We start from the raw sequence: 16,531 nt of genomic DNA, 5'->3' as shown, positions 1-16,531 counted from the left end.
TTTGAGACAGTCTCACTCTGTTGCCCAGGCTGAAGTGCAGTAGTGTGATCTCAGTTCACTGCAGCCTCTGCCTCCCAGGTTCAGGCAATTCTCCTGCCTCAGCCTCCCAAGTAGCTGGGATTACAGGTGTGTGCCAACACATCTGGCTAATTTTTTGGGGATTTTTAGTAGAGACGTGGTTTCGCCATGCTGGCTAGGCTGGTCTTGAACTTCTGGCCTCAAGTGATCCTCCCGACTTGGCTTCCCAAAGTGCTGGAATTACAGGCATGAGCCATGGTGCCTGGCCTGGAAAGTTGTTAGTTATTTATTCAATTTCTTCAATAGATACGGGTCTATTTAGATTGGCTAGTTCTTCTTGTGTGAGTTTTGACAGACTGTGTCTTTCAAGGAGTTGGTCCATTTCATCTAGGTTACAAATGGGCATAGAGTTGTTCATAGTACTCCCTTATAATCCTTTTACATAGTGATGTCCCCTCTTTCATTTCTGATATTCATTTGTGTCCTCTCTCTTACTTTCTTAGCCTAGCTAGAGGCATATCAATTTTCTTTGTCTTTTCAAATAACTAGCTTTTGGTATCATTGCTTTTCTCTATTGATTTTCTGTCTTCAATTTTATTGATTTCTGCTGTAATTTGTGTTATGTCTTTTCTTCTGCTTACTTTGGATTCAATTTGCTCTTCTTTTTCTAGTCTCCTAAGATGACTAGGTTAGGTAATTGGTTTTAGATCTTCCTTCTTTTCTAATATATATACATGCTATAAATTTCCCTCTAAGTACTGCTTTTGTTGCATCCCACAGATTTTGATAAGTTGTGTTTTCATTTTCATTTAGCTCAAAACATTTTGAAATTTCCCTTGGTATTTCTTGTCTCATGTGTTATGTAGAAATGTGTTGTTTAGTCTCTGTGTATTTTGTGATTTTTTAGTTACCTTTCTGTTACTGGTTTTTAGTTTAGCTCCATTGTGGTCTGAGAGCAGACATTGCCTGATTTCTATTTGCTATGGTTTGCCTCTGTCTCCCCACCCAAATCTCATCTGAAATTTGTAATCCCCACAATTTGAGATGAGATTTGGGTAGGGACACAGAGCCAAACCATATCAAACAGAAATCAGGCAATGTCTGCTCTCACCCAGGGAGGGACCTGCTGGGAGGTGATTGGATGATGGGAGTGGTTTCCCCCATGCTGTTCTCATGATAGTGAGTTCTCACGAGATCTGATGGTTTAAAGGGTATGACTTCCTCCTTCGCTCTCTCTCTCCTGCCACCACGTAAGACATGCCTTGTTTCCCCTTTGCCTTCCACCATGGTTGTAAGTTTCCTGAGGCCTTTCCCAGCCATGTAGAACTGTGAGTCAATTAAACCTCTTTTCTTTATAAATTACCCAGTCTCAGATAGTTCTTTTATAGCAGTGTGAAAGTGGACTAATACACAATTCTTTTACATTTGTTAAGGTATGATTTATAACCCAAATGTGGTCTGTCTTGGTGAATGTTCCAGGTGAGCTCCAGAAGGATGTTATTCTGCTGTTGGATGAAGTAGTCTAGTCTATAGATGTCAATTATATTCATTTGATTGATGGTGTTGAGTTTGACTTTAGTGATTTTTTTCTTTTGCCTACTGGATCTATCCATTTCTGATAGAGAAACATTGACGTTTCCAACTCTAATAGTAGACTCATCTATTTCTCCTTGCATTTCTATCCGTTTTGCCTTATGTAGTTTGATGCTCTGTTGGCAGTCACACCCACTTTCAGGATTGTTATCTTTTTGGAGAAATGACCCTTTTATCATTGTGGAATGCTCTGCTTCATCCCCGACCGTCTCCTCACTCCGAAGTGTACTGTCTGAAATTAATATAGCTACTCCCACTTTCTTAGTGTTAGCAGGGTAGAAATCTCTCTATCCAGTTACTTTTAATCTACATGTACCTATATTTAAAGTGGGTTTCTTATAGACAATATCTAGTTGGGTCTTGCTTCCTGGACAGTCTATCTTTTAACTGGTGCATCTTCATTATTCACATTCAAGGTAATTATGGATACAGTTGGGTTAATATCTACCATGTCTGTTACTGTTTTCTATTTGTTGCCCATGTTCTCTGTTCTTATTTTTGTCTTCTACTCTTTTTCTGTCCTTTGTGGTTTTAATTATATGATTCCATTTTCTCTCCTTTCTTAGCATATCAGTTATACTTTTTAATTTTTTTAATGGTTGCCCTAAAGTTTATAACATACATGAACAACTAATCCAGGCCCATTTTCAAATAATACAATACCACTTCATGGATAGTGTGACACCTTCTAATAACAAAATCACTTTAATTTTTTCCTCCCATCCTTTGTGTCATTGCTGCAATTGATTTCACTCACACATTAGCATACCTAGGCAAGCATGTGTATATACACATGTCAGCATACATATTTAATGTATATAAGCACACATGACCAAATGCATTGTTGCTATTACTTTGGACAAACTTATCTATTAGATCAGTGGAGAATCGGAACAGTGTTTTTATCTTACTTTACTTTTTCCTCTTCCAATATTCTTCCTGTCTTTGGATCTGAGTAGTATTCTCACTCTAAAGAGCTTCCTTTCTCATTTCTCACAGGGCAGGTTTATTGACAACTGATTCCCTCAAGTTTTGTTTTTCTGGGAAAGTCTTTTTTTTCTCCTTCACTTTAAAGGATAACTTCACAGGGTACAGAATTGTAGGTTGGGGTCTATTTTTTCCTTTCTCAACACTTTAAATATTTCGTTTCATTCTTTTCCTGCTTGTGTGGTTTCCGAGCTTTCAAATGAAATGTCTGTCTTTGCTCCTCTGCAGCCGAGGCATCTGCATCCTCAGTTTGTCACTCATTCATTCACTTCTACCCCAAGTGGGCCCACAGCTGCTGCTGGAGAACGGAGGGGACGTCACCTTGTTCTTGCCTGCAGAAGCTGCAAGTCCAACAGCAAAGGGGACCTACTGCACGAGAATGAGGAGAGCTGCAGGGTGGGGGGCTCAGGCACCAACCCCCACCCCCCCCACCACCAAGGGCCTTCTAGGCAAGGCTCTCATGTGTGGAACGGAGGCCAGCTGGAGGGCAGGGCCAGGCACGTGTCCCAGCTGCTCCTCAGCGTGGCTTCCCCTCCCGAACAGAGCAGCTCACACAGTAACAGTGACAATAATCACAGTGGCTAGCGTGAGGTCGACACTCCTCGGGCGGGCACCATGCTCCTGTCGGACTCACATGAGTCAGCATTTGGATAACCCCTGCCTGTACCTCCACAGGGTTCTTAGGACAATGGGAAGAGCCTGTGTGAGTGTGGGAAAGGCAGCTGCAGGTCCCGTGCTGAGAAGGTCCCTCGCCTAGAAGCCAGTGCCTCTGGTCTGGTTCAGGCCCTGTCTGCACAGTGAGTCCAGCTGGCATCCATAGGAAGAAAGGGTGTTCCCCGGGCGTGCTCCAGAAGCAGCTACACATCTGTCGGGCTGCAGCAGAGGCTGCATCTCAGCGTGTTCCCTGGATGCCCCTGACCCTGTGACGGCTCAGAAACAGCAGCTGTGGGCAAACCACGGTGACGGCCATGTGGGCCCAGCTCCCTCCTGCTGCTCTGGCCAGAGCCCGTTGCCGTGGTGGCAGAGGCATCTCTGGATTTCCTGCTGCAGCAGGACAGAGTCCACATCAGGACTTGAATGTTCCCTGCAGCACAAGGAGGCGAGAGAGGTGGGTTCGAGTCCCGCTCCTGCACGGGTGAGGGTGGTGTCTGGATGTGGAGGCCAGGGCCTGGAAGCCTTCACCCCTCACCAGCAAGGTGGGCAGGTGCTGCGGCCGGGCCTGCAGTTCTGCTCCCCCGCTGCCCGGGTCCCCGGTTCTGCTCCCCCACTGCCCGGGTCCCCAGGCATGCACGGAGTCCTGGACTTTCACTCCCCTGGGCGGTCAGTGGGAGAGAGAGGCCTGGGGTCTCTGCTGAGGAATCATCGTGTCACTCGCCCTCCCTTCAGAGTTCGGGAAACTGAGGCAGGAGAGGCTGAAGTTGCCAGAGGTCACGCGCTAAGGAGCTGCAGAGCCAGCTTTGCGTCCCTCCCCTGTGGGGCCCCAGGAGGGCTGTGAGGCTGGGGAACCCACTGCGGGGTCCGGAGCTCCAGGATCTGGTGCTGAGGCCCTGGGAGGAAGAGGGAACCTACGGACTGCTCGTGGCTCCCCTACTCCCGGGGAAATGCAGGGAAACTGAAGCCTGGGCTGTCCCCTCTCCCAGCTGGCAGAGGGCCCTCAGGTACGATGGAGAGTGAGACATGCAGGGTGGGGAGGGCAGGGCAGGTGGCAGGGAGACATGGAGGGCGGGGAGGGCAGCAGGGACAGGCAAAAGGAAGCAGCCCCACCCCTCTATGCCAGGAGCACCCCATACCATGACTGTGACAGCCACAGATGCCTCCAGACATGACCACGTGTTCCCTGGGGACAGAACCACCGGGCAGAGCACGTCCAGGCTTCCGGGGATCCCCGGAGGTGGCTGCCTCCTCACGGCGTCTCCCCATCCTTCCCCATCTCCCTTCTCCCTCCCCCGTCCCTGGAAAGGTCTGCTTCAAACCTGTGAGAAATGACTAGGGGCGGCTGTAAAATCAAAACCTTCCCCTCAGGCCCAGAGGAAAAATGAGCCACTTCCATTTCTTGGCGCTTTTCCCTGTGAGCCTTGGACAAGCTTCCCGAGGCCTGGCCTCCGCCCAAGCAGCCGGTCCCTCCCAGGGGCCTCCCCGTCGGGCTTCCTCGTCCTAAATGGAGTTGGAGGCGCCTCAGCAAACCCAGCGATGGGGCGAGGATTTTCAGAGCGGGCCCTACCTGATGATGGGAGGGATCATGTTTTCTCCAATATTGCCAGAATAGCAGTGTTGTAAAGGTTGCTACAGAAACACCTCGGGTCAGCGCCGAGTCCAAAATAGAGCGTCTAGACAAACTCCTACTGTCTGACCTTCGACGTGTTTCCTAATCCATCCAATCTTGCCAAGCAAATTGGTGACTAAGCAGCAATTCCCTTTACACTCTGTCATAAAGGCCTGACGAGGCCCAGGCGCTGTGCTACATTTCAGTCTGGCTGTGGCGGCCGCTCCACCCGCACGGCTCCCACGTGGCTTCCCAGCGCGATGTGTGCCTGGGTCGCCATGAACTAATTTCAAGGCCGAGTCCAAAAGCCACAGGGCTGCCGGAAAACAGAACTCACTTTCAGCCAGCAGGGCCCCAGAGTTGACATAAAATGTGAAGAGGGAGTCTGGAGGCGGCTCTGGCGAAAACAAAATAGAAGTTGGGGACGGGCCGGCCCCAGTGGCCTCCCTCCGTGCAGGGGCTGGGAGGGGGTGGGGCAGCGGTTCTGCTAAATGAATAGAGCCAGCTGCTTGGCGAGGCCGAGCCCCTCCTCTGTCTCCCCTGCAATGCTCTGTCCTGAGCCTCTCAGTCACCTGTGTGAAGGGACTCAGACGCAAGGAGAGTTGTGCTCTGCTCTAAATAAGCACAGTGGAGACCCTGATGTGGTGGAATGGGGCGGCTTCCTTTTGCCCTGAGTCCGAGGCTCTGGGTTTCGGGCACTTGGGCTGGGCATGCTGCAGGTGGGACGGGGCTGAGGCTCCACTGGGCAGGGGCATGGAGCTGCAGAGCGGGCACTTTGCGGTGAGGGAGGTGGTGTAGGCTGGGCAGAGTGGGACGTGGGCGGCCTGGGGGACACTGAGATTCATGGGTCGGGGGCAGGGGCTGCCCCGGGTGCTGCCGCGGGTGCTGCCGCCGGCATGGCCACGCATCTGGCTTCTGTGCCTCTGGTGACCAGGCTATTTCCACAGATGGCAAAGCTGGCTGTAATTGGGGTTGCTTCCCCAGGGACAAACCACTGGTCCTAAAATGGAAGGCGAGGGAGGGGAGAAGACTGTTTTACTGGAAAAGAGGCCACTTTGCCAGAACCACGTTGGTGCCACAAAGTGAGGAATACCTGTCTCTCCACACTGGTGCCAGTTGGCCCATCGCTGTAGCTTAACTGTCCAAAAAAGGAAAAAGAAACACTTCCACCAGATAGTATAACTCTTGGACCGGAGAGTGAAGTGGAAGCCTCACTCTAAACCTTTCTGCAGCTGCACGCTGGGCCTGGCCGGAGTCCCGCCGAGCAGAGCGGAAAGTGAGCCGGTACCAGTGCTCGTGGCAGGGTGAGCCTTGCGTGTGCTGCGTCTTGAAGGGGGCGGCTTTGCGGCTTAGCATGTCGCTTTTCTATACATACCAGAAACGCAAGTTTTCCAGAGTCCTCTGGCCAGAGGTGGGTGAGGCATTGGCAGTTCTTCAGAAGACACAGAGAAGCCTACATGTTTCTCTGAATTTCTCATAAACTGCCCCTGGCTGGCGCTGAAGCTCCTTCAGAGGCAAAGAGCTTCAGACGGGCGATGCCTGCCCGTTGGCCCCTGGCAGACCTGCCAGCCTCCAGGCTGAGAGCAGGGTTCCAGCAGCATCTGAGCAGCCAGGCCCAGGTCTAGCCACCGCAGCCCGCACAGGCCTCTGCAGCCCCCGACTCAGCGGCATGGGTAAGCTTGGCTCCGCGGGGCCACAGCAGAGCCTGGAGACACAGAGGCTATCCCTGCAGTGGCACCTGGGAGATGCCACTAAGCCGTTGCCTGCAGCCATGACTCAGCCCAGCAGTCCAAGTGCTAGACGGAGAGCTGCTCCCATCTACGGGGTGCCCACTGGGTGGGCAGGAGTGGGGCAGGCGAGGGGAAAGCTCCTGCCCACATCTCCTGGGCTCTGCGGCCTGTGCTGCTGGGTGCAGGGGGGCAGTCCAGGGACTGAGCAGGACTGTGCCACGGTGAAGAAAATCCACCTCCACCAGGGCCTCCACCACCTCCATCAGGACTAGAAACTGAGCAGGACTGTGCCACAGTGAAGAAAATCCACCTCCACCAGGGCCTGACCCCTGCTTGGTGCTGAGTCTGCCTTGGTTCCCTCACCGGAAGGTGGGGAAAACGAGAGCCCCTCCCACAGATGTGTGTCCACACTGATAGTGAGGCTGGCGCTGCACAGCCCTGCCTGGGGCCCTGACACGCACGGCAGAACCTCCATAGGGGGCCGCTGGCCACCCCCCAGGTCTCCACTGCCACAACCTGGTGTTCGGGACTGGCCAAGGCCCGCAGGTGCCGGGGCAGCAGGGAGCCCCCGTCACAGCAGTGAAAGACACCAAGGGCCCCGTAGCCCCGTGCCAGGACTCTGGCCTCAGCTCCTGCAGCCTGCCCAAACAGCGCTTCCCGGGGGGCACTGTGAGGTCCCCCCAGTGCTGTCTCTGTAGAAGGACTTAACCTCACCTGAGGACTGGACGTCCCTTACCACCTCAATCCCGAGCCTGTGGTGTTTCCGCTTGCTTTAAACCAGGACCTATGGAGAAGCGCACCTGCTCCCCTGGCTTCGGTGTGGCCGCACTCACGGTGTCGGGAGGACGTGGACGTGCTGTACTGCACCTTTAAAGGAAAGTGCTACGGCTCCGCACGCCTTCCCCCCACCACCCAGTGCCATGGCTCCGCACGCCTTCCCACCACCCAGTGCCATGGCTCCGCACGCCTTCCCCCCACCACCCAGTGCCATGGCTCCACACGCCTTCCCCCACTCCAGTGCCACGGCTCTACATGCCTTTTCCCCCCCAGTGCCACGGCTCCACAAGCCTTTTCCCATCCTACAATTGTCATGTATTTTTCATGAAATGAGTTATTTGAAAGAAACTAATATTGTCCAAAATATAGAACTTCTTTTGGAAGTTTTGAAGAATCTTGGACTCCAAGGGGCTCCTCTTTTGAAAGCTGTTCCCTTCTCTGACCACAGGGGCTGGGAGGGGCGTGCTAGGCCTGCACGGAGCCTGGGCGGGGTGTAGGAGGACCTGGAGGAGTGCTGGAGCCAGGCAAGCTGGGCTGCTACCAGGAACCCGAACCCCTCCAGACACCCCGGGAGAGGTGGGCTGTGAAGCCAGGCTCAGAGCAGAGGACACAGGCAGGGAGGCACCCCCGGGGCTTGGCACAGCAACCAGAGTGCAGGGTGTCCACCGTGCGGGAGTGCAGGGTGCAGTGGTGTGGAGTGGGGATGAGGATATGGGGTGCGTGGAGTGGGGATGAGGATATGGGGTGCATGGAGTGGGGATGAGGATATGGGGTGCATGGTGTGGGAGTGTGTAGGGGCACAGCGGGTGTGGGGGGTATGGAGTGTGGGCTGAGGGGGTGGGAGGTATGGAGTGTGGGCTGGGGGGGTGGGGGATGCTGGGTGTGTGGGAGTGTACGGGAGCACAGGGGGTGCAGGGGGTATGGAGTGTGGGGTGGGGGCTGCTGGGTGCGGGATGCTGGGTATGTGGGAGCGTGGGGTGTGGGAGTGTGTGGGGACACAGTGGGAGCATGGGGTGTGGGAGTGTGCAGGGACACAGTGGGTGTGGGGGGTATGGAGTGTGGGGTGCGGGATGCTGGGTATGTGGGAGCATGGGGTGTGGGAGTGTGCGGGGACACAGTGGGAGCATGGGGTATGGAGTGTCAGGTGGGGGCTGCTAGGTGTGCGGGGGTGTGGGGACAGGGTTTGCGGGGCAGGGGGTTGCAGAAGCGTGTAGGATGCGAGGGTGCTGGGTGCATGGTGCATGGTGCAGGGTGCAGGGTGGGGGGCTGTGGGGAAGGTATGGGGGGTTTCGGGTGCAGTGGGGAGGTGCAGGGGGTGTGGGGTGCAGGGGTGCCTCCAGCCCCAGACCTGCTGGGGTTGCACTGGTTCTGCTGCTGACAGGTGACCCACCTGCCCCTGTGCGCAAGTCACTGAAAGTTTTGGAGCCTGGTTTTCTTACCTGAGAAATGGGGCTGATGATCGTCCTGACTGATCGATTGGACCACCCGGTACACCACTGGCCTCTCCGATCCACAAGCTTCGAAAGCATTTTCATATCAGGTGGGCTTCCCTCCAGGTGCAAAGCCCCCGAGTTTCCTGACTGCTGACTCCCACTTGCTGTCCAAGCTTCTGCAGGTCTGCAGGGGGGCTGGTTACCCCGAGACTCGTGTCCAGGTGATCTGGGAGGTGCCACATGGGAGCACATAGGGATGGGGCACGCAGGGGCCAGGGGGACATGGGGAGCATGTGGAGGCATGTGACATCATGTGGGGCGCGCAGGGGCACTTTAGTGGAAAGGAGGAACAAGTGCTTTTTGGAGCAGCGGATGCACCTGCCCAGCCCCCAGCACACCCAGTGCCAGCAGGAGCAGCAGCAGAAGAGCAAGCAGCATGGGTCCTGCTCACGTGGGCCCAAGCCTCCCCAAGGCCTGCAGCTTGGCTCCCGGCCCCTTCTGCCCAGGCTGCCTGCTCCCAGCTGGGGTTTCCCGTCTACACAAGCTCTGCCTCTCTAGCCCTCAGGCCACCTGAACCCACCACAAAGGCATCGGTCCCTTCAGGGCTCCCAGGGTTCAAGGTGCAGCTGGGTTGAACACCACCAGGGAGTGCTGTGTAGACGAGGCCTTCAGGGGCAGGGAGTGCTGTGTAGACGAGGCCTTCAGGGGCAGGGAGTGCTGTGTAGATGAGACCTTTGGGGGCAGGGAGTGCTGTGTAGACGAGGCTTTTGGGGGCAGGGCCTGAGGGCCATCTCTGCACCAGAAAAGTGTTGTGAACTCCAGAGTAGGGAAAGATGGGAACACAGAGGGGGAGCTGTGGGTTCAACTGTTTCCCCAGAAGCATGTGGAAGTCCCAGCCCCTGAGACCTGAGAGTGGGACCTCATTTGGAAACAGGATCCTGCAGATGTGGTCAAGACAAGCACTGGGCTGGGCGGGGCCCAAGTCCAGGAACAGGCATCCTCCTAAGAGGAAAGAGACCAACACGGTGCCATGGGAGGCAGGCGAGGTTGGAGCAACGGCACAAGCCAGGGAAGCTGAGAGCAGCAGATGCTGGGACAGGTGGCTAGGAGCCACCGGTGCACCCGGGGAGCACGTATGCCCTGCCCACGCCCAGGAGCACGGTGGGGGGGGCACGCCCTGCCCACGCCCAGGAGCACCCGGGGGGGGGGGCACGCCCTGCCCACGCCCAGGAGCACCCTGGGGGCATGTCCTTCCTATGCCCAGGAGCACCCGGGGAGCATGCCCTGCTGTGCCAGGGTTTCAGACTTTGGCCTCCAGGGTTCTGAGAGGATAAATTGTTAAGTCCCCCAGTTTGTGGAACATTGACCTGGCAGCCCCAGGACCCTAAAACAATGGGTTAAGCAGAAAAACATGGTTCCTGGGGGTTGCAAGGGGACTCCACGGTGCATCTGTGGGTATCCGCTCTAGAAGGTATCCGCTCTAGAAGGTAGCGTCCTCGCTGAGCTCTGTGCAGGGGCACAGGTCAGGGCTGTGGAGAGCCACAGGGCCACTCCGTCTGGCTGCACATAGAGCCTCCATGTCCTCAGGCTGCACACAGGCAGCCCCTCTGCAGCATATGCGGCCATGTCTCCTGCAGCTCCGAGAGAGAATGGCTCGGGGCTCAGGGGTGGCGGCTGTCATCAGAGGTGCCTTTTCATTTTGCTCTTTCTCTCCCAACTCCAGGCCCTTGCGAGGTGATGAAAAACCTGCTGAAATAGCACAGAGCAGCCCCTCCCGCGGTGGTTCATAGCATTCATCCCCTGAGAGCCCACACAGGCCACACCACCGGCCCACAGAGGGGAAGCTGAGGCAGGAGCCTAATGACTCGCCCCAGGCCTCAAAACGATGTGCACTGGGGCTGTTTCCACTATTAAGTCAACAATCTCTGCAGTTTCTGCTTAATGGTCTCAATTAAGGTTCTCTTAATAAAGAACATTTGTGGAGAAGATGGGTGGGGCTGACACAGTTCTGCGGTCCACAATGCCTCTGAATCCCAGTGAAAACAGGCTAGAGCCTTCTCAGCTCCCAAGGCACAACCAAAATACAGACAGACAGGAGCGCCCCAGGGAAGGAGAACTGGCGTGGTGTCCACACAGGCATCAGGAAGTGTGTGAGCCTGCGAATGTGCACCTGTGTGCATGTGGTGGCATGTAGGTGGAATGTAGGTGGCACGTGTGCATGAATCGAGTGCATATACATGTGAATGGTATGTGTGCACATGTAAGCATATGTATGCCATATGCGTGTACACGTTGCATGTGAGTATATGTATACCATGAGTGTGCACTGTGCATGTGAGCATATGCATGCTGTATGTGTACACTGTGCATGTGAGCATAGGTGTACCGTGTGTGTGTGCACTGTGCATGTGAGCATATGCATGCCGTGTGCGTGTATGCACTGTGCATGTGTGCATATGTACGGTGTGTGCATGTGTGCACTGTGCATGTGAGCTTACGTATGCTGTGTGCACTGCGCATGTGAGCATATGTATGCTGTGTGCACTGTGCATGTGAGCATATATATGCCATGCCTGTGCACGTGAGCATATGTATCCTGTGTGCATGTGTGCACTGTGCATGTGAACATATGTATGCCATGTGTGTGCACTGTACATGTGAGTATATGTAGGCCGTGCCTGTGCACTGTGCATGTTAGCATATGTATCCTGTGTGTGCGTGTGCAGTGTGCATGTGAGCATATATATGCCATGTGCGTGCACACCGTGCATGTGAGCACATATATGCTGTGTACTGTGCATGTTAGCATGTGTATGCCATGTATGCGTGTGTGCACTATGCATGTGAGCATATGTGTGCTGTGTGCACTGTACATGAGCATATGTACACTGTGTGCAGCATGCATGTGAACATATATATACCATGTACGTGAGCACTATGCAAGTTAGCATATGTATGCCGTGTGTGGGCACTGTGCATGTGAACATATGTATGCCATGTGCATGTGTGCACTGTACATGTGAGCATATGTACGCTGTGTGCGGGCACTGCCTGTGAGCATATGTATGCCATGTGTGCAGTGTGCATGTGAGCATGTCATGTGTGCACTGTATGTGAGCATGTTTGCCATGTATGCATGTGTACGGCACATGTGAGCATGTGTATGCCATGTGTGCATGTGTGCACTGTGCATGTGAGCATATACCATGTGTGCATGTGGACTGTGCATGTGAGTATATGTATGCCGTGTGTGTGTGGGCACTGTGCATGTCAGCATATGTATGCCGTGCATGTGCACTGTGCACGTGAGCATATGTATGCTATCTATGTGCATGCACTGTGCATGAACATATGTATATGCCGTGTGCACTGTGCATGTGAGCGTATGTATGCCATGCATGTGCATTGTGTATGTAAGCATATGCCATGTGTGCACTGTGCATGTGTGCATATGTATGCCATGTGTGCATGTGCACAGTGCACATGTACGTGCCATGTGTGCACATATGTGCATGTGTCCCTCTGTGTGTCAACACCCATGTCTGTACCTGCTGCTCTCTTTGGAGAGAAATACCTACGTGCTCACCTTTGGCCTTCATGGAGTGACTCACTGGCCCCGGTGGGTGCTGTCTCATGGATGGGCTTGAGTTCTGAAGGGCGCCGTCCAGGCAGGAGCAGGTGGAGAAGCCATAGCTACTCACTTCCAAAACTTCCTTGACTGCTCAGGGTTCAGGCCTCCCCATGTAAAGAGGGCCCTCCGGCGGGGCTTCCTTGTGTCCACACCAGCCTGGGTCTCAGGAAGACCTTGAGGGGCAGGACCAAACAGGTGAGGGGGACAGACCCTTAGTCCATCCCTCAGGGTTGCTGGAGCCCCAGAAGCTCCTGCCTAGACCCCCATCCAAAAGTCAGACCAGCAGAAGTCAAGCAGACCAAACTTAGACTAATGCGTGGGTGACTGATGGCCTTTTAATAATCCAGACGCATCTGCATTTTCAGACCAGGATCTCATTTAACACAAACAGCTCTTTAATTGGTTGCATTCCAGGGGCTTAACAAAGTGGGAACTGCAGCATGTTGGGGGAGGGAGGAGTCAGCCCATGCTGCGGGGTGGCTGGCCCCCCATTGGCCCCCACGGGGCACCCCAGATGCCCCTACCATGGCCTACTGTCCACGCCAAGCCCTCCACGGTGGTGGCCAACACACGGGGGCTCCTGAGGGCTGCCTGTGGCAGGGCACTCAGAAATGGGGGTGACCGAGGCTCCTGCGGGGGTGCGCAGGCCTCCCTGGGCACAGATGCTGCCTGGGCTGTGAGGGAGAAGCTGTCTGCTGGTGGCTCTGTCCTCTCCAGGAGGCCCTGGGGTGAGGGCAGCAGTTGAGGCTGCATAAGAGCACTTCACACCCAGGGCTCCGTTCAGCCAGGTCATAGGGCCCCCCCGGCTCCTGGATCCACTGGGACCGCCCAGCAGAGGGAACCGCAGCCGTGCATATGGAGCGGGAGAGGCCGCAGGGCTGCAGCCCGAGCTCAGATCGAGGAAGGCTCCATCCCTCCTGTCCTCATCACAGGGTGACATGGTTCGGGTGAGCCCCCGTCCTGGGACTTTGGCTAACAAAACAAAGACAGGCTTTGCACGACTGGGGGACCCTGGGCAGCACAAGAGCAGCACCCCCAAGATGGGGAGGAATGAAGCTGGGCGTGAGACGCTCGGCCCTTGAGGGCGGGTCTGGAAGCCGGGTTCCCCATGTGGCATCCACGCAGCTGCAGCTGCCTGGGATCACGGCACACGCGACTCTCATGTGTCGTTGCTGAGGAGCAATTCCCTATTACCTCTGTCTTCTCCTCAACTTCTGACTCTGCTGTTGCCTTCTTGCAGCATCTACATCATTTCCTCCAGCAGAACTCACTTGCCCCAGGCAGCGACTCCAGGCGCCTGTCTCAGGCTGCAGGCACGGGGACCCGTGGCTGCCACACACAGCTTGAGGGCAGGAGGCCCCTGCCCCGACCGTCTACAGTGGCACATCCAGCTGCAGCAGTGAGAAGCCTGTGAGGCCGCAGCTCACCCCTGTGCTGGTACCGCCACACGCGCTCACGTACACACGTGCTCATGTACACACATGCATGTTACAGGCCTGCGTGGGTGGACTCAGGTGTGTGGGCGTCCATCCTGAATCGGGACAGAAAAGTCATTTGTAGACCATGCATGACCTCAAAATCTTTCCAAATTAAATCTTCAAAAATCGGAAACAAAACAAAACCAACATCTAACCTGCTCCTCAGCAACGCTACGTGCCCCAGCGTGGACAGTTCCCAGGCCCACGTGCTTAGTCCTGCAGATCAGACACGATTCCAATAAAATCAGCAGGAGGTAGAACACTTTATAGCCATTTTCTAGACACACACTGTCTGATGGAAATCTAATGGGAACCACATATGCTATTTTAAGGTTTCTAATGTCCACATTAAAAAAAGAATAAAAAATAGGTGTCTTTTTTTTTTTTTTTTTTTTTTAAAGACAGAATCTCACTCTGTCCCCAGGCTGGAGTGCAGTGGCACGATCCCGGTTCACTGCAAGCTCCGCCTCCCGGGTTCACGCCATTCTCCTGCCTCAGCCTCCCGAGTAGCTGGGACTACAGGCACCCGCCACCATGCCCGCCTAGTTTTTTGTATTTTTAGTAGAGACAGGGTTTCATCTTGTTAGCCAGGATGGTCTCAAACTCCTGACCTCATGATCCGCCCGTCTCAGCCTCCCAAAGTGCTGGGATTACAGGCGTGAGCCACCGCGCCCGGCCAATAAGTGTCATTAGTTTTAATATTTTGTTGAACCCAATCTATAAAAAAATTATCATTTAAATCTGTAATCAATGTAAAAAATTAGTACTTGTTTCAGGTTCTTTTTTTCACAGGAAGCCTCAGCACCCGGCGTGCAGTCTTCCCATGTGCTCCCAGCAGGCGCACACGTTCCCGTGCTCCATGGCCATGCGTGCCTGGGAGACCACCATCACAGACGTGCGACTCTCCTGGGAAATCAGGGGCAGAGGACACTGTGTTCTCGACAGGCCACACAGTGAGCGCACGGTGTGGGTGCACGTGGGCGGCCCTGGATGTGCGGATGGAAAGTGAGGATGGAGAGGTTCCTGCTTCTCCAAGTAACGCAGCTGGAGGCAGGAGACGCAGTTTCCAGCGCTGGCCACGGAGCTGTGTGCACATGGCCACGTCGTGGCGGAGGGGCTCTGAAGTGAGCATTGCTGATGCCCACTCGAACCCCTGGCCTGTGCACAGGACATGGAGCCGTGTGGCAACTGTGTTAGGACACTCGGCGCGGCTGTCTTGGGACAGGAATTACCTGGTAATCACCGGAGCTTGGGCTGGGGGTCCAGGGAACTGGAGAGCAGAGGGAGAGACTGAGGTGCGGCATCACTTGCTGCTTGGCAGGCAGGAGGGCCTGTGCGAGGCCAGGGAGGAGATGGGACCTCAGTCCTGCAGCTGGCAGCTGGGTTCCTTCCACACTCGGGCAGTCCTGGAAGCAGAGTCTCTCTGGGCCCCCAGCTAGGAGCACAGACCTGCAAGGCGCCCGCAGCCTGGTGAGAATGGATAAATCTGTATTGATTTCAGCCCTGGCGGTTTTGCTGCTGATGTGGTGGTGGTCAAGAGCCAGAGCAGTGCTGCTGGAACAGGCCACCTGGTCTCTCTGTACCTGTCTCCTAACTTGTAAATGGAGGAGCTGCCAGCACCTCACGGGCCACTGGGCAATTACTCATGGCAGCGAGTGCAGGCACCTGGCCAGTTCTCAGCAGTAATGTCCACTAGAAGGTGGCTGCCAGCCTTAGCCCCCTGATGACATCACTGGCCTTTCTCCCACAATGGTGCTGGGCTGGCCTCCCTCTCTGTGTCTCTGGACCCTGCAGAATACGGGATGGTGCCCCGTGCAGACCTCAGAGCCTCTAGCGATGCCCAGGGTTGCTGTCCCATCAGGGAGGCAGAGGCTGCAAGCCCAGAGCTGTGTCTGGACAGAGGGAACCAGGCACCAGCTATAGCTCCACGGCAGGAAGACACCCTTCAGCCCCCACCCCCAAGCAAGAGGCACCTGCGGCTTAGTGGGCCCTGACTCCAGCCTGGCCAGCTCGGGGCCCAAACGATGCCTGTGGCTGCCTGGCCCCTGCAGCGTGGCACAGACGACAAGTGCATGGGGAGCAGACCTGGTGTCCATGAGCACCCAGGCAACGCGCCACCTCTCCCTCCTTCCTGGTCCTGCCACGGGGGCCTGAGCTGCGTGGGAGTCTCTTCTACTTCCTGTTGACTCAGTAACTCGGGCTCTCTCGTGAAGTCCCAGCAAGAGAAGGGAGATGAGGAGTAGGAAGGACGCGGGGCCAGTTCATCCAGCTGGTGGCTGTCATCACCGAGATCGAAGTCTCAGGCCAGGCCGGGCCCTTCAGGAGACGGTGAGGATGGACCCCATCACCGCTGGCGCTGGTCCCGCAGCCCACCCTGAGGAGGAGTCTCTCCTTGACAGGGGAGCTGGACACTGCTGTGGTCTGTGTGAGCCCAGCCACTGCCACCCAGTGAGAGGAAGGCTGGGCTCCCACAGTGTGGGGTTCTGGTGCACACCCCACAGGTCGGCGGTCCCCAAGGTCATGTCTGATTTCCATGGAGCTCTGTCAGCTGGAACTGCTCCCGGGAAGCCCCTGAACTCCTCACGCCGCCCCCCGCTCCAGACGCTCCCTTTGAGTGTGGA

General features: G+C 55.3%; 2 long non-coding RNA genes across 3 annotated transcripts, besides 2 other annotated features; one reads left to right on the top strand and one right to left on the bottom strand.

Moving 5' to 3' along the window:
- Positions 1,188–1,272: a transcriptional cis regulatory region, noted in NCBI's record as "silencer 8 or peak_12841 region targeted for CRISPR/Cas9 genome editing". NCBI's record gives its function as "negatively regulates NFATC1 gene expression in K562 erythroleukemia cells {active_cell/tissue: K562}" and the evidence as "EXISTENCE:mutant phenotype evidence [ECO:0000015][PMID:32103011]".
- Positions 2,842–3,681: an enhancer, noted in NCBI's record as "H3K4me1 hESC enhancer chr18:77350417-77351256 (GRCh37/hg19 assembly coordinates)". NCBI's record gives its function as "activates a minimal SCP1, AML or CMV promoter by ChIP-STARR-seq in naive H9 embryonic stem cells {active_cell/tissue: H9 hESC(naive)}" and the evidence as "EXISTENCE:reporter gene assay evidence [ECO:0000049][PMID:30033119]".
- On the bottom strand, positions 5,080–14,816 carry LOC284240 (uncharacterized). The gene is made up of 4 exons (NR_148949.1): positions 14,678–14,816; positions 12,388–12,605; positions 8,808–9,027; positions 5,080–7,458 (listed from the first exon to the last, which is right to left on the bottom strand). It is a non-coding gene; the product is annotated as an uncharacterized LOC284240 (long non-coding RNA).
- Positions 7,833–14,310, top strand: LOC124904335 (uncharacterized). 2 transcript variants are annotated; one of them, XR_007066428.1, is made up of 4 exons: positions 7,833–7,944; positions 8,750–8,908; positions 9,736–9,934; positions 10,525–14,310. It is a non-coding gene; the product is annotated as an uncharacterized LOC124904335 (long non-coding RNA). The 2 variants fall into 2 exon arrangements; XR_007066427.1 differs by having other exon boundaries at positions 9,679–9,934.
- Positions 14,817–16,531: the final 1,715 nt, after the last annotated feature.

This window comes from Homo sapiens, chromosome 18, assembly GCF_000001405.40.
Source record: "Homo sapiens chromosome 18, GRCh38.p14 Primary Assembly".
NCBI lineage: Eukaryota > Metazoa > Chordata > Mammalia > Primates > Hominidae > Homo > Homo sapiens.
This window is presented reverse-complemented; position numbering and strand designations above follow the sequence as displayed.